At 37.2% G+C, this 21,440-nt stretch overlaps 1 protein-coding gene across 13 annotated transcripts in view; it reads left to right on the forward strand.

Moving 5' to 3' along the window:
* Positions 1 to 21,440, forward strand: part of TTC6 (tetratricopeptide repeat domain 6) — a 247,089-nt gene that overhangs the window by 75,483 nt on the left and 150,166 nt on the right. For all 13 annotated transcript variants that reach the window (XR_007064009.1, XR_001750287.2, NM_001310135.5 and 10 more), the window contains 2 exons: positions 9,040 to 9,150; positions 11,647 to 11,853. Coding sequence is in view for 11 of the 13 variants with exons in the window: in NM_001310135.5 (NP_001297064.2) it covers positions 9,040 to 9,150; positions 11,647 to 11,853 (318 nt within the window). In the remaining 2 variants the exon portion in view is untranslated. The remainder of the gene's footprint in view (positions 1 to 9,039; positions 9,151 to 11,646; positions 11,854 to 21,440) is intronic.

Here is a 21,440-nt window from a genome sequence, read left to right on the forward strand (position 1 = left end):
GGGGCTGCTGTCGTTTGAAGACTTGATTGAGACTGAGGGATCTGCTCCCAGGATGCCTCAGTCATAAGACTGGCAATTTGGTGCTGGTTGTTGGCAGGAGACCTCCCCATGGGACTGCTTAAGTGTTGTTATCACATGGCAGATGGCTTCCCCTAGAATGAGTGATCCAGAGAGGGCAATGCGGAACTTGCCATATTTTTTTTGAAATAGCCACACACTGTAATTTCTGCTATATCTTATTGATTACACAGGTCTGCCCTATTCATTGAGGAGGTGACCATTCAGGAGGTGGGAATCATTGGGGATCATCTTGGACAATAGCTACTAGAGCCTTTTTGAAATAAGATCTGCAAGTGGTACTACAGATGTTTTTGTTGAACATCAGGATAGGTGAACACATATTAATTTGTTGAATTTTATATTAGTTAATATTAGTTAACATTTTGAACGGTTTTACAATAGAAAACATGTAAGAAAATTAATGGAATTTATTGTTTGATTCAGGAACAGCAAAAACAGTGTTTTTGAGATGTAGTGTCATTTGAGAAGACATAGCAAATATGTTTCCATCCTTCCTCAGTGATATGATTTGGCTCTGTATCTCCACCCAAGTCTCATCTTTAACCGTAATCTCACATGTCGAGGGAGTGTCCAGTAATCCCTATGTGGTGAGGAAGGGAAATGATTGGATTATGGGGGCGGTTCCTCATTCTGTTCATGATAGTGAGTGAATTCTTATGAGATCTGATGGTTTTATCAATGGTATTTTTTCCTGTGTGCTCACACTGCCCTGCTGCCTTGTGAAGAAGGTGCCTGCTTCACCTTCCACCATGATTGTAAGTTTCCTGAGGGCTCCCCAGCCATGCAGAACTGTGTCAGTTAAATCTCTTTACTTTACAAATTACCCAGTCTTGGGCAGTTCTTTATAGGAGTGTGAAAACAGACTAATACACTCAGTTTGTGTCTTGGGAATTTTAGTTTTATGGAATACTGTTGACTAAATAAACAAAAGAGGCATATTAACTTTCAAAATTCATTGATATAGATGCATAATTATTTTCATGTCATCTTATATTAAAACATGAGATAAGAACTGCATTTCCCCTCCCTCCATCCCTTGACCCAGAACCCAGCTCTTCTTCACATTTATTTTTCACTAGTGTAACTAAAACTGGTACATCCTCTGATATTTATACTCTTATCCTCATCTCTCTAAATAAATTAGATTCCTATTGAACTTGGAGCCTGTACATAATAATTATGCTTGATTAAATTTACTGCTTTGCATTTTGAAAAACATTATTCTTCGTCTGTTGTTTTCATCTCTCTAACTAACTGAAACTTCTTCAGGGAAAGAATCTTGACTTATATTTCTCTTGGATTCCTAGCCCTGGAGTGCTGTGGCAACAGTGCTGCTTGCATAGCTTGTCATAACTCACTCAACAGTTGGTACATAATTCAAAGGGATGTCATACTTGAAATATCAGATGCTATAACCTAGAATCAGGCATATTAACTTAGATTTCTCCATAGCCTTCTGAAACGAAAAGTCTGGATTTTTTGTTGTCTTTTCTAGTATGAATGTCAAGGAATAAAGAATAGTGCATTGCCCAACCATAGGCATTATCATATTCTGGAAACATTTTTTTCTGATTGCATTGCATCTATTTTTGATGACTTGATTTAAGCAAGCTTTTCATGAATTCCTCATTTTTTTTTTTTTTTTTTTACTAAAAGCACTGTAGTTTTCTTCTATAGGGTAGCTATCAGAGAAGTGATATTATAAAAAGTAGAATTTACTTGAAACCCAATAATGTTATGTTTCTGGAACTACTATAGTTTTTGAACAGGTTTAAGTAATGGACTATGTTCTGTTAGGACTTTGCATAAAAGATGCTATACACATTTAGTTATAGATAGTGCCTGTAGCAATTTTGATGTTTAAATTTATATGGCAGCTGTTCAAATTCCATTTTTTTTCTTTATCAAATCACATTTTTAGAGCCAACAGGTCTATGGAATACAGGGTCCAGTCACCCAGAACAATCATATAAATGTTTAATTTAAAGAGTCACAGGGGTAAGAACGGATGTCAAGCAGCCCTGATACATTCTTCTGCCTGTAAGGAGGATTCCACAGGCCAGTGCCATCAGGGTTTTGCCTGCAGGAAGCAAGAGAAAGTTAATGCAGATCAGGACAGTTTCTCAAGAAAGTTACCTGTGTGGACAAATATTGTTTAGGGCCATACAATGCCTTTTCTTTCCTTCTTTCTAAACCTTGAACTTTACAGTAAGTTATCTAAAGGCAGTGCAGCTTGACTAAGTGCTGATGAAATCATAAAAGGGTATATTTTAGAAACACTCTTTTGGCCTATGCTATTTGGGCCAGTGTCATTTGGGGAGAACCTGGATTGCATGATGAAGAGTAGAGGGCAGCTGCTCTCTCTACTCCTCCTTTTAATGATGATTGAGAAAATACTGGGCCTGCCTAACAGGCCACAGGAACACTGCGGCTTCTGTTGCTGTCCATCTGCTTCAAGCAGTGTAGGGGAAAGACCATGTGGTCTGTTTGTTTTGAATACTAAACAGCACCCTTTAAGCCTCAAAGCTTTGGTTTCAGTGTCTGTGAAATTTGGGTGTCCTTTGGGTTTTACTGATCCTTCAAGGTCCTTCCAGCTTGGACATTTTGGATTCTGTTACATGCCATAGGTGGAAACTGCTCTATGAAACACATTAAAAAAGTGTATCCAGGATTGCGAAGTTGGATTGCTTACAGATTTATAAATTTTCAATTGTGTACAGAGTTAAAAAAATTTGTTTAACACTTTGGCAGACTCTGTGGAGAATGTAGAAATTAACTACTAGTTACAGTTTATAACTCAGGGAAACAAGGTAGAATTAATACATGTTAAGCAAAATACTAATTGTGCTACTTAAAATTTTTCTTTTTGATTTTTTTTAGTCCAAAATCCAAATTTTCTGATTCAAGTCAATTTTTATGTCTCAGTCATTTTTTTTTTGTTTGTTTTCCTGACATTTCCTAAGGCACTGTTTTGGTAGTTTATAATTTTTGTTACCTTCATGATTTTGTTCCTTTTCTCATTTTCTAAATTTCTGAATTTGGTTTTGGTGAATTGATTTTCTGTCTGAATAACTCTACAGATTATTTTGGGAATTTTAGGTATATTATAGTAGCCTCTTCAAGTAACAGTTATGTGGTTAGTTCATTTCTTATAATTATGTTCTTTTCTGTTTCATATCTAGAATTTCCAGAATAATGTCAAATTATGATGGTACCAATAGGCATCCTTATTTTGCTTTTTATTTCAATGTGAACAATAACTATTATTATGTATAAGACACTTTGTTTGCATGTATTATATCATTTAATCCTCATAATAAGCATATGAGGTATGTGCTATTATTATTCCCATTTTACAAACTTGAGAGGTTGAATAATTTGCTTGAGAATGTCCTAAAGTGACTGAGTCAAGATTTGAAGCCAAAAGCAGAGCACGTGTGCTCAACCGCTTTATCATTCCACCTTCCATGTGATTTTCACTTGAGAGTACCATGAAGATCATTGTATGTTTTTACATTTGACTTATAAATTAATGGATTTCCTAATGTTGAATAAAGCGCATTATTTTTACTCTCACCTGTTACCTCTACATCGATTTGTGTTTCTTTGCTATTAAACTTTAGATCGAACACTAACAAAATTATTGTTGTCAGTAAAATATTTTTTTACATTACATGTCTTTTTTTTATTTCTCTGGCTTTACTAGACTATAGACAAACAGAAATAAATCCTTGTGTCACTGGGCAATGTAGTAACTATCATGTATAAATTTTACTACTATGTTAGTTAAAAATGTCTAAGGAGCAGGGAAATGACATTTGTTGTGTACCTGCTATTTTCAAGTGCTCATCACATCCAATTACTTTTTTTTTTACACTGAGGTGAATTCATATAATGTAAAATTAACCATCTTACAGTACACAATTCAGTGGCATCAACATTTGCAATGTTGAGCAGCCATCACCTTCATTTAGTTTCAAAACCATCTCATCCTTCCAAAAGGATACACTATACATGTTAAACAGTCATTCGCCATTCCCTATACCCCACAGGCCCTGGCAACAACAAGTTGGCTTTGTTTTCTATAGATTTACCTATTCTGGATGTTTCATATAAATGGAATCATACAATTTGTGACCTGTGGTGTCTAGCTTCTTTCAATTAGTGTAATGTTTTCAAGATTCATCCAACATCGTGGCATACATCAGTACTTCATTAATTTTGTTGGTTGAATGGTATTCCATTGTATGGATATACCAAATTTTGTTTATTCATTCATCCATGAATGGACATTTGGCTTGTTTCTACTTTTTGTCTATTGTGAATAGTGCTGCTATAGCATCAATGTACAAATATCTATTGAAATACCTACCATCAGTTTTTTTGGGGGCATATTCCTAAAAGGGGAATTGCTGTGTCAGTTGGTAATAGTATGCAAGTTTTTGAGGAACCACCAAACCTTTCCACAGTGGCTGCACCATTTTACATTCCCGGTAGCAGCATACGAGGATTCTAGTTTCTCTGCATCCTAGTCAAGTCTTGTTATTTTCTTTCTTTCTTTTTTTTTTTTTTATAGCCATCCTAGTGAGTATAAAGTGGTATCTCACTGTGATTTTGATTTGTGTTTCCCTGATTATTTGTGTTGGTCATCTTTTCATGTGCTTGTTGGCTTTTGTATATCTTCTTTGGAGAAATGTCAAAAATACTTTGCCCATTTTTTGACTGTATAGAAATGAAAATTTGTTGTCTATCTCCTGTGATTATATTCTCACTTTCACCAAATAATTCACAGAGTTTTATGATTCACAGCAGAGAGTTAGTGCTGTGACTTCCAGAATATTCTTGTTGTATGTTAGTGTCAAAACTCTTTCAAAGGAAAGAGTACTAGACAATTTTCTGTTGCGTGGTGATATTAATGACGGTGATTCTGAGAGGAAAAAACTTGCTTTTCTTGTATGGGAAATGCTTAATTGAGAAATGCCAAAGTTGTTGACACTAAAGAATGATTAGTTAGAGGATCATGGTCAGAGATAGTGGGGTGGCCAGGACACTTACAACTGGTAGGAAGAGGAAGGGAGTGAAATTCTTAAGCTGAATAATCAGGGTATTTCCTTTGAAGCTTCTTTCTGTTGTTTTTTTCTACCTTAAAAACTACTTGTGTTATTGCCAAAGAGTATTATTAACTTCAAAGCCAGGAGTCCATTGCCCATTTTTAATTTTTTTTGGTCTTTTTGTTAACTTCTAAGACTTCCTTATATATTCCTAATACTAGACCCTTGTCAGGCAAATGATTTACAAATATTTTCTCCCATTCAGTGGGTTGCATTTTTACTTTCTTCATCGTGTCCTCAATGCACAGAAATTTTAAATTTGGTAAAATCCAATTTGTCTATTTTTTCTTTGGTTGCTTATGCTTTTGTTGTTATATCTAAGAAGCTATTGCCAAATCCAAGGTCATGAAGATGTATTCATATGTTTTCTTCTAAGAATCTTACAGTTTATAGGTCTTACATTCAGGTATTTGACCCATTTTTAGTTAAATTTTGTACATCATTTGAGATAGGGATCCAACTTTATTTTTTTGCATGTAGATATTCAGTTGCCCCAGCACCATTTGAAGAGTGTATTTGTTTCCCATTGAATGTTTTTGGCACCTTTGTCGAAAGTCGATTGAGCATGGGTTGGATGAGTTTATTTTTGGGCTTACATTTATTCCATTGATCTAGATGTCTATCCTTATGCTAGTATCACACTGTTTTGATTATTGTAGTTTGATAGTAAATTTTGAAATAGGGAAGTGTGAGTCCTCCAGCTTTGTTTTTCTTTTTCAAGATTGTTTTGCCTATTCAGGGGAACTTTCAATTCCATATGAATTTTAGGATCAGTTTTTCTATTTCTGAAAAAAAGGCCCTTGTTTTTTTGATAGGGGTTGCAAAGAATCTGTAGATAGCTTTGGGGAGTCTTGCCATCTTAACAATATTAAGTCTTTTAATCCATGGACATAAGATGCCTTTCCTTTCATTTAGGACTTCTTTAATTTCTTTCAGCAATATTTTATACAAGTCTTGTGGTTTTTTGGTTAAATTTATTTCTAAGTATTTTATTCTCATTTATGGCATTTTAAATGGAATTGTTTTCTTAATTTTGTTTATAGATTGTTCATTGTTTGAAAATAAAACTTATTTTTACATATTTACCCTGTACCCTACAACTTTAGTGAATTAGTTTATTAGCTCTAGTAGGTTTTTTTTGTATTCTTTCTGATTTTCTGTATATGTGTAATCATATTCATTTGCAAATAAAGAGATTTTTTATAATTAGTGGTTTTTATTATTCTGACAGTGAACTTGGGGCAGTGTTCTTTGTGTGTTTCTGCTCAGAGGTCATTGAACTTAGGGGGTTTGTAGCTGTCATGATATTTGGAAAATTTTTGGCCATTTGTGTGTGAATATTTTCAGTCACTCCCCATATCCCTTTCTGGAACCCCAATTAAATATATGTTAGACTGAGTATTTGTTCATTTTATTTCAGTTTTATTTCTCTCTGTGGTTCATTTGTCATGGTTCCTGTTGATATGCCTTTAAGTTAACTGACATTTTCTTCTGCAATGTCTTTCTCTTCTGTTAATGCCACTCAGTGAGAATTTTATTTTAGATGATGTATGTTCTATCTATAGATGTCACATTTCATTCTGTTTCTTACATTTGCTCCTCTTTATGCTTACATTTTTATTTAATGTTGAACACTTATAATATTTATATTAGAAGTTTAAGATCCTTATTTGCTAATTCTGAAATGTATATCATTTCTGGGTCTTTTTGTATGATTTTCTTCCTGGTTATGTATCATATATTTGTGCTTCTTCATGTGACCAGCAACTTCTGATTGGATTTTGGACATTATGAATTTTACATTGGGTTTTACTGACTTCCTTTAAAGAGTGTTGGAGTTTGTTCTGATAGGCAGTTAAGTTACTTGAAGAGCAGTTTGATTTTTTCAAGAATTATTTTAAAGCATTGTTAATGTCCACAGAAACCTTTACTCAAGGGTTAATTTAGCATGACTACTAACAGATGATCCTTCTGGCCTTTATAATGAATGTACCACGTATCTTGCATGTCTGGTGGGAGACCTAATGAATCCCAACCTTGTGTGAGCTCTGGGAATTGTGACTTACAGCTCTTTAGTAATTGTTTTCTTCCCTGGCAGGGTTTCTTTGTCTAGCCTCATGGGTTTCTCCATTGCATGGGCAGACTTTCAGCCAAAGCCTCAAGGACCCTATGCCGATTTCTGGAGCTCTTTCTCTATGCAGTGCCCTCATCTCCACACTGTTCCTTACAAATTCTAGCCCCTTTGTCCTCCTCTCATCTGATTTCTGTCTCTTCAATTTAGTAAGATACTTGGGCTCTGTTTGGCTTTTGCCTTTTTGTGCCATGTTCTGGAAATTGTGTCAGGCAGAAATCAGGTAATTGTAGCTCTTACCTTATTTGTTTCCATTCTCTGTCATCACAGTTCTGCACTGTCTGCTGTCAAATCCTAAAAGAGTTGCTGTAATATTTTGTCCAGTTTTATAGTTATTTATAACAAGAGGACAGAAGTAGAAGCCAATGGCCTGAATTAGATCCTTTTAATAAAACAAATAAAAAGTAGAAAAATAAGAGTTTTAAGGTACAATGGGAGTTTGAATCTTGCTGTTGACATTACTAAAAGGCTAGAAGAAAAAGGGACCTTAAAATTTCATGTAGGCCAGGCACAGTGTCTCATGCCTGTGTAATCCCAGCACTTTGGGAGGCCAAGGAGGGAGGATTCCTTAAGGCCACAAGCTCAAGATCAGCCTGGGCAATGTAGAGATACCCCATCTCTACAAAAAACAAAAACATTAGTTGAGCGTTGTGGTATGCACTTTGTAGTCCATGCCACTCAGGAGGCTGAGGTGAAAGGAACGCTTGAGCCCAGGAGTTTGAGGTTACGGGGAGCTATGATTGCACCACTGCATTCCAGCATGGGTGACAGAGCAAGTCTCTGTTTCAAAAAAAAAAGTCATGTAGTTGAATGCCTATTTAAAAAGTAGTAAGACTGAGGTGAAGGAAAGCAAAATAATGTGCCTGTTGATGCCTGATTTGTGGCTTCACAGTTTGGATGGACAGAACCTGGGTCTCTTTATTCCTACATCATTGTTAGTAGTTGGAGTGTACTATCTTCTTGCCATCTCAACTGAGTAGAGAGTATATCATTGCAATTGTCATTAGCTATGGTAAAAATGATACTAACAGTCCATCCAGTGAGGTTTTAAGCATATTCCCTCTTGCCCTTGGTTGCATTAAATTTTAGTTTTGATTTTATCTTTCCTGTGCAGTGTTTTATACAATCTGACTTAATAGCATTGTTTTATAGCATCTGACTTAATATTACCTAATTATCTTGTTAAATCTAAAAATATATTTATAGAGATCAGCGAAAAGCCATGAAATTGAAAACATAGGCAAAAAAAATTTATATTTATTTATTTATTTATTAAACAGAGTTTCCCTCTTGTTGTCCAGGCTGTAGTGCAATGGCATGATCTCAGCTCACTGCAACCTCTTCCTCCTGGGTTCAAGCAATTCTCCTGCCTCAGCCTCCCAAGTAGCTGGGATTACAGACATGTGCCATCATGCCTTGCTACTTTTGTATTTTTACTAGAGTTGGGGTTTCACTATGTTGGTCAGGCTCATCTCAAATTCTTGACCTCAGGTGATCCACCCATCTCGGCCTCCCAAAGTGCCGGGATTACAGGCATGAGCCACCACACCCTGACTTTATTGTTTTTTCTTTATTCATTTACCATGTGTTATTGACTAGTTTATATGTCTCTATTTTTCATTTACTACACAAATTGACTAGCATTTTAGTATAATGAATAATGTGCTTCAATGATTTTAAAAATTGGCATCACTTTGTTTCCTTTTCTCATTCAAGGATATTTCTTTAATGGGAAAAATGTACCTCAAAACATCACCTATGCAAGCAGAAACACCTGAGATACAAGCAGAGTATAAATTCCAGATGGGTGCTGAGGAATCGCAAATGGTAAAGTCTTTAATAAAAATCCTCCTTGCCTCTGTTAAAGTAACAGCATGCTTCCTGTTGCTTGAATGTTTATATAGAGAGTTAAAAAAATTTCTCTGATGTATTTTAGAAGTGTGTTTACCTGTGAGAGCATCTAACTCGATACCACACTGGGAGTCTTGGCCATTTTGGCTCACTGTTGCTGGCTACCATGGACCTTCTGAGCTAAGGCCCCAGACTCTTTTTAGAAGGGGAGGACTTTAACAATTCTGATTTAGAGACATTTAGATCTAGAAGGTAGGTGGATAATTAATTAAAAATTGTTAGCTTCTAAGAAAGCATTACTTTTGTCTGTATTCAGCTAGAAGAATTGTTAAAAGCATTGCAAGGGGAGAATTTGGTTGAGAAATATGGACAGTTGGTGACAGAAATTTGTTTTGGAAATAAATCTTTCTTTTTATCCATCATTGGTAAAATAACCATTGGATTCAAAGCAATCTGGAACATATTCCTTGTGAATGGAAAGTATCTCCTTGTGTATAGAAACTCACATTTACATAGAAAAGTGATAGCCTGATGGTCAGTTCCTCTACAAAGAGTTCATAAAATGTTACCATTAAATAACAAGCTCCTGTGGTTCCTGGAAATATGACCCCCACATACATAAAATCGTGATCATATTTCATTTTTAGGTTAGCATATCATGTTCAGAAAGTGCATGGAATTTTTTCTTTTCACAAAAGCTATGGGTCCTATAATGTTAGAGTTACCACAAATGGTAGAACTACTGGAGTTTGAGATGCTTTGGGCCCATATATTTTTCTCCTTTCTATTCTTATCACTGGCCTTATGATCCAGCATGAGATGGTACTAGTAGCCCTTTGTAATAGTATGTGGATATATCAATTAGGAAGGCTTACCACATATGCTATGGACTTAAGACTGACATCTAGGGTAGCTGCCTCTAGTTGACACCGTTTACAAATATATATCAAAACTTCTGACCTCGACGCCTCTAACAGGTATAGTAAACTGAAAGTACAATATCAGTTAGGTTTAGCCAAATAGAAATCTTCATTAATAGAATAAACTTAATACCATTCACTACATTCATATAAAGTATAAGGAAAGATACCATTTTGAAGGAAACTGTGAAAAAGGCCAACAATCAGATATTTAGCTTAGATATCGTCTTGATTATTTAAAATAAAGAGTTAAACAAAAATATTAATTTATTTGTAATTCTGCTGGAACCATTCCCTAAGCATTGACATTTACAGGCAATCACTGGACCTCTTCTGGCCTCTGGCTTTTTATAAGGAAGCTGACCCACTTCTTTAGAGGTAAAATACCTTTCGACTTGGTACCGGGTCATGGATGCTTCCATCCATCCCCCCTGCCCTCAGACATCAGACTGCAGCTTCTTTGACCTTTGGACTCTTGGACTTATACTAGTGGTTTGCTGGGGGCTTTTGGGCCTTTGGCCACAGATTGAAGGCTGCATTGTCAGATTCCCTACCTTTGAAAATTTTGGACTTGGACCGAGTCACTATTGGCTTCTTTCTTCCTCAGCTTGCAGAGGACACACACACAAACTAAGTACAAAAAAAGATATATCCCTTGTAAAGATGTGAGTCAAGCCAATGGAGCAGCTGAATGGCTCCCTGCTAAATATTCAAATGTCCCCCACCCTTTTGCAGTTAGATGGGGTCATGTAGCTGTTTGTGGCCAATGGGGTGTGAAGGAAAGTGATATGGTCACTGTTCTGTGGTGACCATAGAAGCTGTGTTCTGGTGTGAAGGAACTACAACCTGGAAGCAGCCTAGATGGCTGAGCTACCATGAGAAGTATACCTGCCCTAAAGAGCCACTTTGATTTGTAGTGAACACACTGCTCCAGTGTGTCGAACCACTAATTTTTTTTTTTTTGGTTGGGCATAGCCTATCCTGATGACCAGTGACAAAAATGAGGCTAAAAAAGTTTAAGTAACTTGGCTAAGGTCAAACATCTATTAATTAACAGATCCAGGATTTGAATTCAGTCCCATCTGGTTAAAAACATTTTCTGAATCTTTCCATAACACCATCCAGTAGCTTTATAAAAACATGAGCTCCTGCTTGATGACTTGTGATATGGAAAAAAAAAAGAACCAACATGAGTTCAAGATTAAAGTTCTATTTTACAAAATTAAATTTCTTGGTCTAGCTATACCTTCTTGCATAATAAAGAAAATTTCATAGTATTTGGTATTGTATGCCATCTTTTACCCTTAACAACTGTGGGGTGGCTGTAGTTTCTGAGACAAGGGCTGAGGAAAATAATTTGCCAGCCTTGACATTTTTCTTAAGTCAATTTGAGCTTCTCTTTCTAAATCTTCAGAGGAAACTCATCACCTATGCTTAGTTTCAAGCATGCGTTTTCATATTCATCTTGTCAGATAGAAACTGTTGCATCACTGAAAAGCCTAGAAGGACCAATAAAAAAAAAGCATTCTTGCACATTTACTTTTTCCAACAGAGCGTGCATAAGGAACTTTCTGAAACCATGTCAAGTATTCTCCAGATTGAACAAGAGGATATAGAATGGGGACCCTCAGAAGCAGAAAGCATAGTATTTAAACCTCAGGAAATTTCGCAAGTTCAGCCAGCAGAGGAATTAAGTAAACCTTTGGAAGATGGACAGCCCACAAGTGATTCAAAAGAAGCCAAGTGGGTGTCTTTAACGGTAAGAAACTATTTATGTTGGAAACACCTAAGAGTTATGAGAATTGAGGATGTGCAGGTGTGAAGAATTGGCCCAGGCAAGGACCAACGTATGGGGCTGGGGGCGGGGGTGATGGTGTGTTCACTCTGAAAAGGGGGCCTCAGAAGTGCAAGTTGCCCACTTAGGAAAAGGAAACATGTTTTTTGAGGGTTTCTAGTGTCAACCCTAATTGCAACTCTGGGGAGAGGAAACATTTTCAAGGAGGGAAGGAATTTTTAGGTCTTTTAGAAATTGGCCAAGAATCTTCTAGTTACCATCTCGAGGAAGTCAGGAATTGTAGTCTAGGAAATAGAACTTGGTGAATTTTATAGCTTTTATAACTTTACCTCATTTAGGTTCATACTAACCCCTGAGTCTTTTTCTACTGTGAGGATGTTTACAAGATTCATTTTATCCATTGTTTACATAATTTTTATCATATTTGCATATCACCCTGCCTTTACTGTAGGGTTTAAGTTTCCTCTTATCCTTGGCTTTACTTTCCGAGGCTTTGGTTAGTTGTGGTCAACTGCAGTGTGGAAATAGGTGAATACACATAGGACAATAAGATATTTAGAGAGAGAGAGAGAGATAACATATTCACATAAATTTTATTACAGTATGTTATAATTGTTCTATTGTATTATTAGTTATGGTTGTTAATCTTATACTGTGCTTAACTTATAAATTAAACTTTATCATCAATATGTATGTATGGGAAAGAGCATAATGTATATAAGGTTCAGTACTATCCAAGGTTTCAAGCATCCACTGGGGTTTGGAACATATGCCTCACAGATAAGGGAGGATTGTTGTATTAATTCTTTTCATTAATTTGAGTCACTTTTTTTACTTAAATAAATTTATTTAAAAATAGATATATTATTAGCATTAAAAAAACAGACCCTTTTCCTTGAACCACAGCATATCATCTTGATTATCACCAGAAATCCTCTCCCACACTGATTCAGATGGATGCCTCTCTGGGTAATTCCTCTACTTCTGGGTCTCCCCTCCCCACCAATGATTATGTTCCCAATACGCTTCACTGAGGTCAACTGGCCATTCCTCATTCTTCAATTTTTGCCCGAGACTCCCAACTCTGAAACCTGGGATTTGTCTGTGGCCTTCCTCTTCACTTGCTGTTTACATATAAATCAATCTCCAAGGCTTGGAGTTTCCCAAATGTTATTCCCAAATGTTATTTTTCTTCTCTTTTCTAGTTACCCCATCCTAGTCTGGGTCCTGGTGACCTTATGTCTGAATTAATGCAGTGGTTATTCTTCATTTCTCAAGCCCTGTTTTCTCAGGTTTATCCTACATGACACTAGCCTATTGATCTTCCATGAATAACAGGTAATAAGGAAGATCCACAAGTAATAGTTGACCAGAGGAAATCCACCACTGCTTCCAGGGACAAGGGTCTTATCCTGTGGTTGGTGACTGACCCCATCAGTCATGCTCTTTACAAAGCATGCATTTGGATGTTTCTAAGAAGCATTCTAGGAAGAAGGTTTTGATCAGAGTGACTTGGTGAATGGATTAAAAAGACTCTAAATTGAAATGAGAAATGTTTCAAGGGGAGAGAAGAGAATGTCTAATAAAATATTATGCCTTATTGTTGTGGGATATTGTGGGACCCTTCAGAAATGCCCTAAAATAGCACTGAACTATTCCCACCAAGTCTTCTCCAAGAATCATATATTTATTTATTTGTGTTAACATCTCAAGATCAGTTGTTATCCATGAACTTTACACTGTATGTGGACATTTGAGTCCATAAAGTTAGTTTCTAGCATTTCTGCTCAAAATGTTAGCAGAATGACGAACAATATACTCCAGCAAGCCTGGCCAGGTTGAGGATTAAGGGGACAAGAAGACCTTTTCTGACATGATTAAACAGAAGTAGCACAGAGGTGTAATAAAGGAACAATGCAGGACTTTAATTGCTCAGATATATGTTGGAAGGTCTTGTTCAGCAGAAAAAGTAGAGAATTTGATCAATCCTTACCTAATTGGCCATTTCTACTCTTAGAAGCTCGTTAGTATAATGAAGGTGATTGGTATTTTTGTCTAAATCATGACGAACAAAAGAAAGTTAGATAGAAATAATAGTGATTCTGTGAAGAAATAACTGACACAAAGCCAATAATAGGATGGTTGAACATTTTAGAAGATGTCAGTGAAAGTCTATAAAAATATAGATATGATCACATGACCTGATATTATAAATGGAAGAAAGTTTAACAGGTATGGGGATGTCCTGAATCTCCCAAATTCTCACAAAACATGTATGAGTAATCTATTGCATTTAGAGTTTTAAAAATATCCATAGAAATGCATATCCATAGAAAAATATAAAGGTGGCATGTTGCTATGAAATTGTACCAAGAAAGCCGAGATCCAGAATGGGTTTAGTCCTATGAATAATGTTAAGAACAAAAACAAGTATTTTTGATGTTAGTTTTGGAGCAAAGAGAGGGGGAATAAAAAGAAAGATAACTCTGTCATATGGATGAATAGTGTGATGACAAGAGATGACAGCTGCCTTAATTTATTTTTGGAAAAAGGTTGAGGTTTTAAATAAACAGAAGTATAACAAAGAGAAAAGGAAGCTGATAAACTTATGCTTTGTGTCTTTTAAATCTGACAGGGAGAATGATCTTTAGAAAGAAGAATTCATAATAGAAACTTAAAGTCCAAGATTTGTAAAAGATTTTAAGAGTTAACTTGAATATCTGAGCCTGCTGGATGGCTCAGATAGATGGGTTTAAGCTTGTTGCACCTTTCAGCAGCAGCTTTGGGGAGCTGCTGCAGTGGGAGAGGTGCCAATGCCTGGAGAGTGGCAACTGCAAATATGACTTTTATATTTTTTTAAGTGTAAGGGTTGAGATTTCTGCAATCTATGCATTGATCTTGGACAAAACTCTAGAATTATTAAATGACTCATTAAAAGAATTGTGTTTGAACCCTTCTAAAAGGAAGTGGTAATCACTTGGAGTATGGGTCCCTTAAGGATAAGCCATGGAAGACTAACCTCATTTATTTTCCTAGAATTCCTAGACTGAATATCATAAAAATGTTAGACCTGGTGTTCAACATGAGTCTCGTGGGAAGAGCACAGGCTCTGCAACTAGATGTCCAAGGACCGAATCCTCTCTTTACCCTTTACTAGTAGTATGACCTTAGGCAAAGTACTGAACTCTACTATATGTCTGTATTGTAAAATGAGGATAATGACAGTGCCCACCTCATATTGTTTTTGTGAGGATTATATGTAAATGCTACAATATAAAGCACTTAGAACAATGCCTGACATACAGAAAACTCAATAAACATTAGTTATTGCTATTATCATTGGAATATCAGCAACCTGCTTATGAAAGCCTCCCAATGTTGGTTTTGTAGAGGAGATTGTCGTCAGGTGGACTACTAAATGGATTTGTAACTACTTATGCAAAGGATGCACAACTAGTACATGGAAGTCTCGTGGACTGCTACAGGGCTGTGTCCAATTCAATAAATTTCCTAATGGTTTAGATGATATATTAGTCTGTTTTCATGCTGCTGATAAAGACATATCCAAAACTGGGAAATTTACAAAAGAAAGAGGTTTAATGGGCTCACAGTTCCACATGGCTGGGGAGACCTCACAATCATGGTGGAAGGTGAGACGTGTGTCTCACACGGTGGCAGACAAGAGAAGAGAATGAGAGCCAAGAGAAAGGAGTTTCCCCTTATGAAACCATCAGATGTTGTGAGACTTATTAACTACCATGAGAACAGTATGGAGGAAACTGCCCCCATGATTCACTTATCTCCCACTGGGTCTCTCACACAACATGAGGGAATTATGGGAGCTACAATTCAAGATGAGATTTGGGTGGGGACAAAGTCAAACCATATCAGATGAGAAAATGGAAAACTTGCTGATTGAATTTGTAGATAGCATCAAAAATTCTACTGGTAAGATTTGTCTGGAGAAGGTGGAGCAAGATGGTGGAATAGAAGGCTCCATTGATTGTCCCCTCCACTCCACAGTAAACCAGGACACAGAACCTGACTGTAACTTCATATCATTGAAAGAGACATTGAAGACACAGGAAAAATAGTCTTGCATTGCTGACACCACCCCTCCCTGACCCGTTGGCAGCAGAGGGGTGGTGCAGAGAGTGTTTTTGTGCCCTGGGGAGAGGGAGAGCCAGCAAGTGTGAAGTATTGAACTCAGTGCTGTCTTGTTATAGCAGAAACCAAAACTTAACCAAACTCAGCTGGTGCCTGCCCACAGAGGGTGCATTTAAATGAGCCCTAGCCAGAGAGGAATAGCTGATCTCAGTGTTCGGAGCTTGATTTCTTAAAAGCCTTGCCACCACAGGCTAACATGCTTGGAGGCTCCAAATAAATTTGAAGGGCAATATAGGCCACAAGTACTGCAACATGTAGGTAAGTCCTAGGGTTGAACTGGGCTCAGAGATAGTGGACTAGGGAGGCATGCAACCTACTGAGACACCAGCCAGGGCAGCTAAGGAGTGCTGGCATAACTCCTCCCCTAACCCCAGGCTGCATAGCTCATGGCTCCAAAAGCGACTCCTTCCTTTTGCTTTAGAAGAGGAGATGGAAGAGTGGGGAAGACTTTGTTTTGCGTCTTACATACCGAGCTCAGCCACAGCAGGATAGGGCACTGGTCAGTGTCATGAGGCCCTAGCTCCCAGACATTTCTAGACATGCCCTGGGCTGCCTTGAAGAGAAGGACCCAGTTGTGGTAAGATTCATCACCTCCTAACTGAAAAGTGCTTGGGCTCTGAATAACTAGAAAGGATACCAGTTGAGGGCCTTGGGTGAGACCCTGAGACTTGCTGGTCTCAGGCGAGACTCGGCACATTCCCAGCTGTGGTGGCTACAGGGTGAGACCCCTGCTTGAGAAAAGTGGAGGCAAAAGTAAAGAGGACTTTGTATTGCACCATAGGAACCAGCTTGGCTATAGGGGAGTAGAGCACCAAGTGGGCTCTTGGGGTCCTTGAGTCCAGGACTTGGCTCTTGTACACCATTTCTGGACCTGCCCTAGGTCAGAGGGAAGCCCACTCCCCTGAAGGATGAGTCCCAGGACAAGCAGCATTTACCACAAGCTGACTGAAGAGCCCTTAGGCCTTGAGGAAACATTGGCAGGAGTCTGGCAATACTCCTCGTGGGCCTGAGATGGCGGTGGCCACAGGGAGAGGCTTCTCTGCTTTTGAAAAGTGGGGAGAAGAGTGGGAAGGATTTCATTTTGTGGTTTGAGTGCCAGTTTAGCTGTAGTGCAATAGAATGCCAGATGGACGTCTAAGGTTTTTGACTCTAGTCCCTGGCTCCTGGATGGCACCTCTGGTTGCACCCGGGGTCTGAGCGAATTTGCTGCAAATGACATAGGTCTGGCTGGTTTTGCCACCTGCTGATCGTAGAGCTCTAGGTCTTTGAGCAAACATAAGTAGTGGCCAGGGAGTGGTTATAGCAGGCCTTGAGCGAGACCCAGAGCTGTGCTGGCTTCAGATCTGACCCAGTGCAGTCCTAGGAATAGGGGCCACAGGGGTGCTTGTGTCACTCCATCCCCAGCTCCAGTTGGCTCAGGGGAGAGAGAGAGAGAGAGAAAGAGAGAGAGACTTTGTTTGTTTAGGACAAAGTAAAGAAGAGAACAAGAGTTTCTGCCTAGTAATTCAGATAATTCTTCCAGATCTTGTTCAAGACCATCAGGGTGGTACCTCTATGAGTCTGCAAGTACCACAGCATTACTGGGCTTGGGGTCCCCCGCCCTAAAGCAGATACAGCTGAGATCACAACACCCAACTCCTTTTGAATATCTGGAAAGCCTTCCCCAAAGGGATGGGTACAAACAAGCCCAGACTGCAAAGTCTGCAATAAATACTTAGCTCTTCAATGCCAAGACACAGACAGATATCTACAAGTATCACAATGATCCAGGAAAACATGACTTCACCAAATGAACTAAATAAGGCACCAAGGGCCAACCCTGAGAGAAATAGAGATATATTCAAAATATATAGAGACATCAAAATACCTGTTTTGAAGAAACTCAAAGAAATTCAAGATAACACAGAGAATCAATTCAGAATTCTATCTTAGAAATTTAACAAAGAAATTGAAATAATTAGAAAGAATCAAGCAGAAATTCTGGAGTTGAAAAATGCAGTTGGCATACTGAAGAATGCATCAGAGTCTTTTAGTGGCAGAACTGATCAAGCAGAAGGAATAATGAATTAGCTTAAAGACAGGCTATTTGAAAATACACAGAGGAGACAAAAGAAAAAAGAATAAAACACAATGAAGCATACCTACAAAATCTATAAAATAATCTCAAAAGGGCAAATCTAAGTGTTATTGGCCTTAAAGAGGATGTAGAGAAAGACATAGAGGTAGAAAGTTTACTCAAAGGGATAATAGCAGAGAACTTCCCCAACCTGAAGAAAGATATCACTATCCAAGTACAAGAAGGCTATAGAACACCAAGAAAATTTAACCCAAAGACGGCTACTTCAAGACATTTAATAATTAAATTCCCAAAGGTCAAGGATAAAGAAAGGATTTCAAAAACAGCAAGAGAAAAGAAACAACATACAATAGAGCTCCAATATGTCCAGCAGCAGACTTTTCAGTGGAAACCTTACAGGCCACAAGAGAGTAGCATGACATACTTAAAGTGCTGAATAAAAACAACTTTAAACCTAGAATAATGTATCTGGTGAAATTATCCTTCAGACATGAAGGAGAAATAAAGACTTTCCCAGACAAACAAAAGCTGAGGCATTTTATCAACACCAGACCTGTCTTACAAGAAATACTAAAAGGAGTACTTCAACCAGAGAGAAAAGCATGATAATGAGGAATAAATAATAATATGAAGGTACAAATCTCACTGGTAATAGTAAGTACACAGAAAAACAGAATATTATACCACCATAAATGTGGTGTGTAAACTTAAATAGAGAGACTAAATGATTAACCAACAAAAAATAATAACTATAACAAGTTTTCAAGATATAAACAGTACCATAGATATAAATAGAAACAAGAAGATAAAAAGCAGAAGAATAAAGTTAAAGTGTAGAGAATTTATTAGTTTTTTTTCTTTTCTGCTTGCTTGTTTGTGTGTTTATGCAAACAGTGTTAGGTTGTTCTCAGTTTAAAATAATGGACTATAAGACAGTATTTGGAAGCCTCATGATAACCTCAAAACAAAAATCATTCAACAGATACACAAAAAATAAAAAGCAAGAAACTAGATCATATCACCAAAGAAAGCCACCTTTACTAAAAGGAAGACAGGAAAGGAAGAAGGAAGAGAAGACCACAAAATAACCAGAAAACAAATAACAAAATGGCAAGAGAAAGTCCTTACTCATCAGTCATAACATTGAATGTGAATGGACTAAACTCTCCAATCAATAGACACAGAGTGGCTGGAATGGATTAAAAAAATAAGACTGATTGATCTGTTGCCTACAAGTAATGCACTTCATCTATAAAGACACACATAGACTGAAAATACAGGGATGGAAAAAGATATTCCATGCCAATGGAAACCAGAAAAGAGCAGGAATCTCTATACTTATATCAGACAAAATAGATTTCAGGAAAAAAACTATAAGAAGAGAAAAAGAAGGTCACTAAACAATCATAAACAGGTCAATTCAGCAAGAGGATGTAACAGTTTTCATTATATATGCACCCAACACTGGAGTGCCCAGATTTATGAAGCAAATATTAGGGAGTCAAAGAGGGAGACTCCAATACAATAGCTGAAAACTTCAACATCCCACCTACAGCATTGGACAGGTCTTATAGACAGAAATTCAACAAAGAAACATCAGACTTAATCTGCACTATAGAGCAATGGATCTAATGGATGTTTATAGAACATTTCATCCAATGGTTGCAGAATACACATTCTTTTCCTTAGCATGTGGATCATTCTCCAGGATAGACCATATGTTAGGTCACAAAACAAGTCTTAAAACATTAAAAAAACCCCACCAATATTAAACATTTTCTCTGACCACAATAGAGTAAAACCGGTCAGGTGTGGTGGCTCACATCTGCCATCCTAGCACTTTGGGAGGCCAAGGTGGGTGGATCACTTGAGGTCAGGATTTCAAGACCAGCCTTGCCAACATGCTGAAACCCCACCTGCACTAAAAATACAAAAATTAGCCAGGTGTGCTGATGCATGCCTGTAATTCCAGCTACTCGGGAGGCTGAGGCATGAGAATTGTTTGAAACCGGCAGTTGGAGGTTGCGGTGAGCCGAGATTGTGCCACTGCACTACAGCCTGTGTGACAGAGCAATACTCTGTCAAACAAACAAACAAACAACAAACAAAAAAACACAATAGAATAAAACTAGAAATCAGTAACAAGAATAATTCTGGAAACTATACACATTGAAATTAAACAATGTGCTTCTGAATGACCAGCAAGTCAATGAAGAAATTAAGAAGGAAATTGAAAAATTTTTTTGAAACAAATGATAATGGAAACATAACATACCAAAACCTGTGGATGCAACAAAAGTAGTACTAAGAGGGAAGTTCATAGCTGTAAGTGCTTACATCAAAAAAGAGGAAAAACTTCAAATGAACAATCTAATGATGGATCTTAAAGAACTAGAAAAGAAAGAGCAAACCAAACCAAAAATTAGTGGAAGCAAAGAATAAAGGTCAGAGCAGAAATAAACTGAACTGAAATGAAGAAAACAATACAAAAGGTCAATGAGATAAGAAAGTTGGTTTTTTGAAAAGCTAAACAAAATTAATAAACCTTTAGCCAGACTAAGAAAAGAAGACAGAAGATCCAAACAAATAAACTCAGAGATGAAAAAGAAGACATAACTACAGAAATTCAGAGGATCATTAGTAGCTACTATGAGCAACTATATGCCAATAAATTGGAAAATTTAGAAGAAATGGACAGATCCCTAGACACATACAATCTACCAAGATTGAACCGGAAGAAATACAAAACCTGAACAGACCCATAACAGGTAACAAGATCAAATCCATAATAAAAAGTCTCCCAGTAAAGAAAAGCCTGGGACCCAATGGCTTCACTGCTGAATTGAAAGCACTAACACCAATTCTACTCAAGCTATTCTGAAAAATAAACTAGAAGGGAATGCTTCCAAACTCATTCTATGAGGCAGGTATTATCCTGATATCAAAAGCAGACAAAGACACACCAAAAAAAAAAAAAAAAAAAAAAAAGAAAAAAAGAAAAAGAAAACTACAGGCCAATATCCCTGATGAATATTGTTGGAAAAATTCTCAACAAAGTATTAGCAAACTGAATTCAACAATGCATTAAAAAGATCATTCATGACAAAGTGGGATAAATCCCACTTTGGGATGCAAGGATGGTTCAACATATGCAAATCAATTAATGTGACACATCCTAGCAACAGAATAAAAGACAAAAACCTTATGATCATTTCAATTGATGCTTAAAAACCATTTGATAAAATTCAACATCCCGTCATGAACAACAAAAAATGTCAAAAACTGGGTATAGAAGGAACATAGCTCA

The sequence above is a fragment of the Homo sapiens genome, chromosome 14 (genome assembly GCF_000001405.40).
Source record: "Homo sapiens chromosome 14, GRCh38.p14 Primary Assembly".
Lineage (NCBI taxonomy): Eukaryota > Metazoa > Chordata > Mammalia > Primates > Hominidae > Homo > Homo sapiens.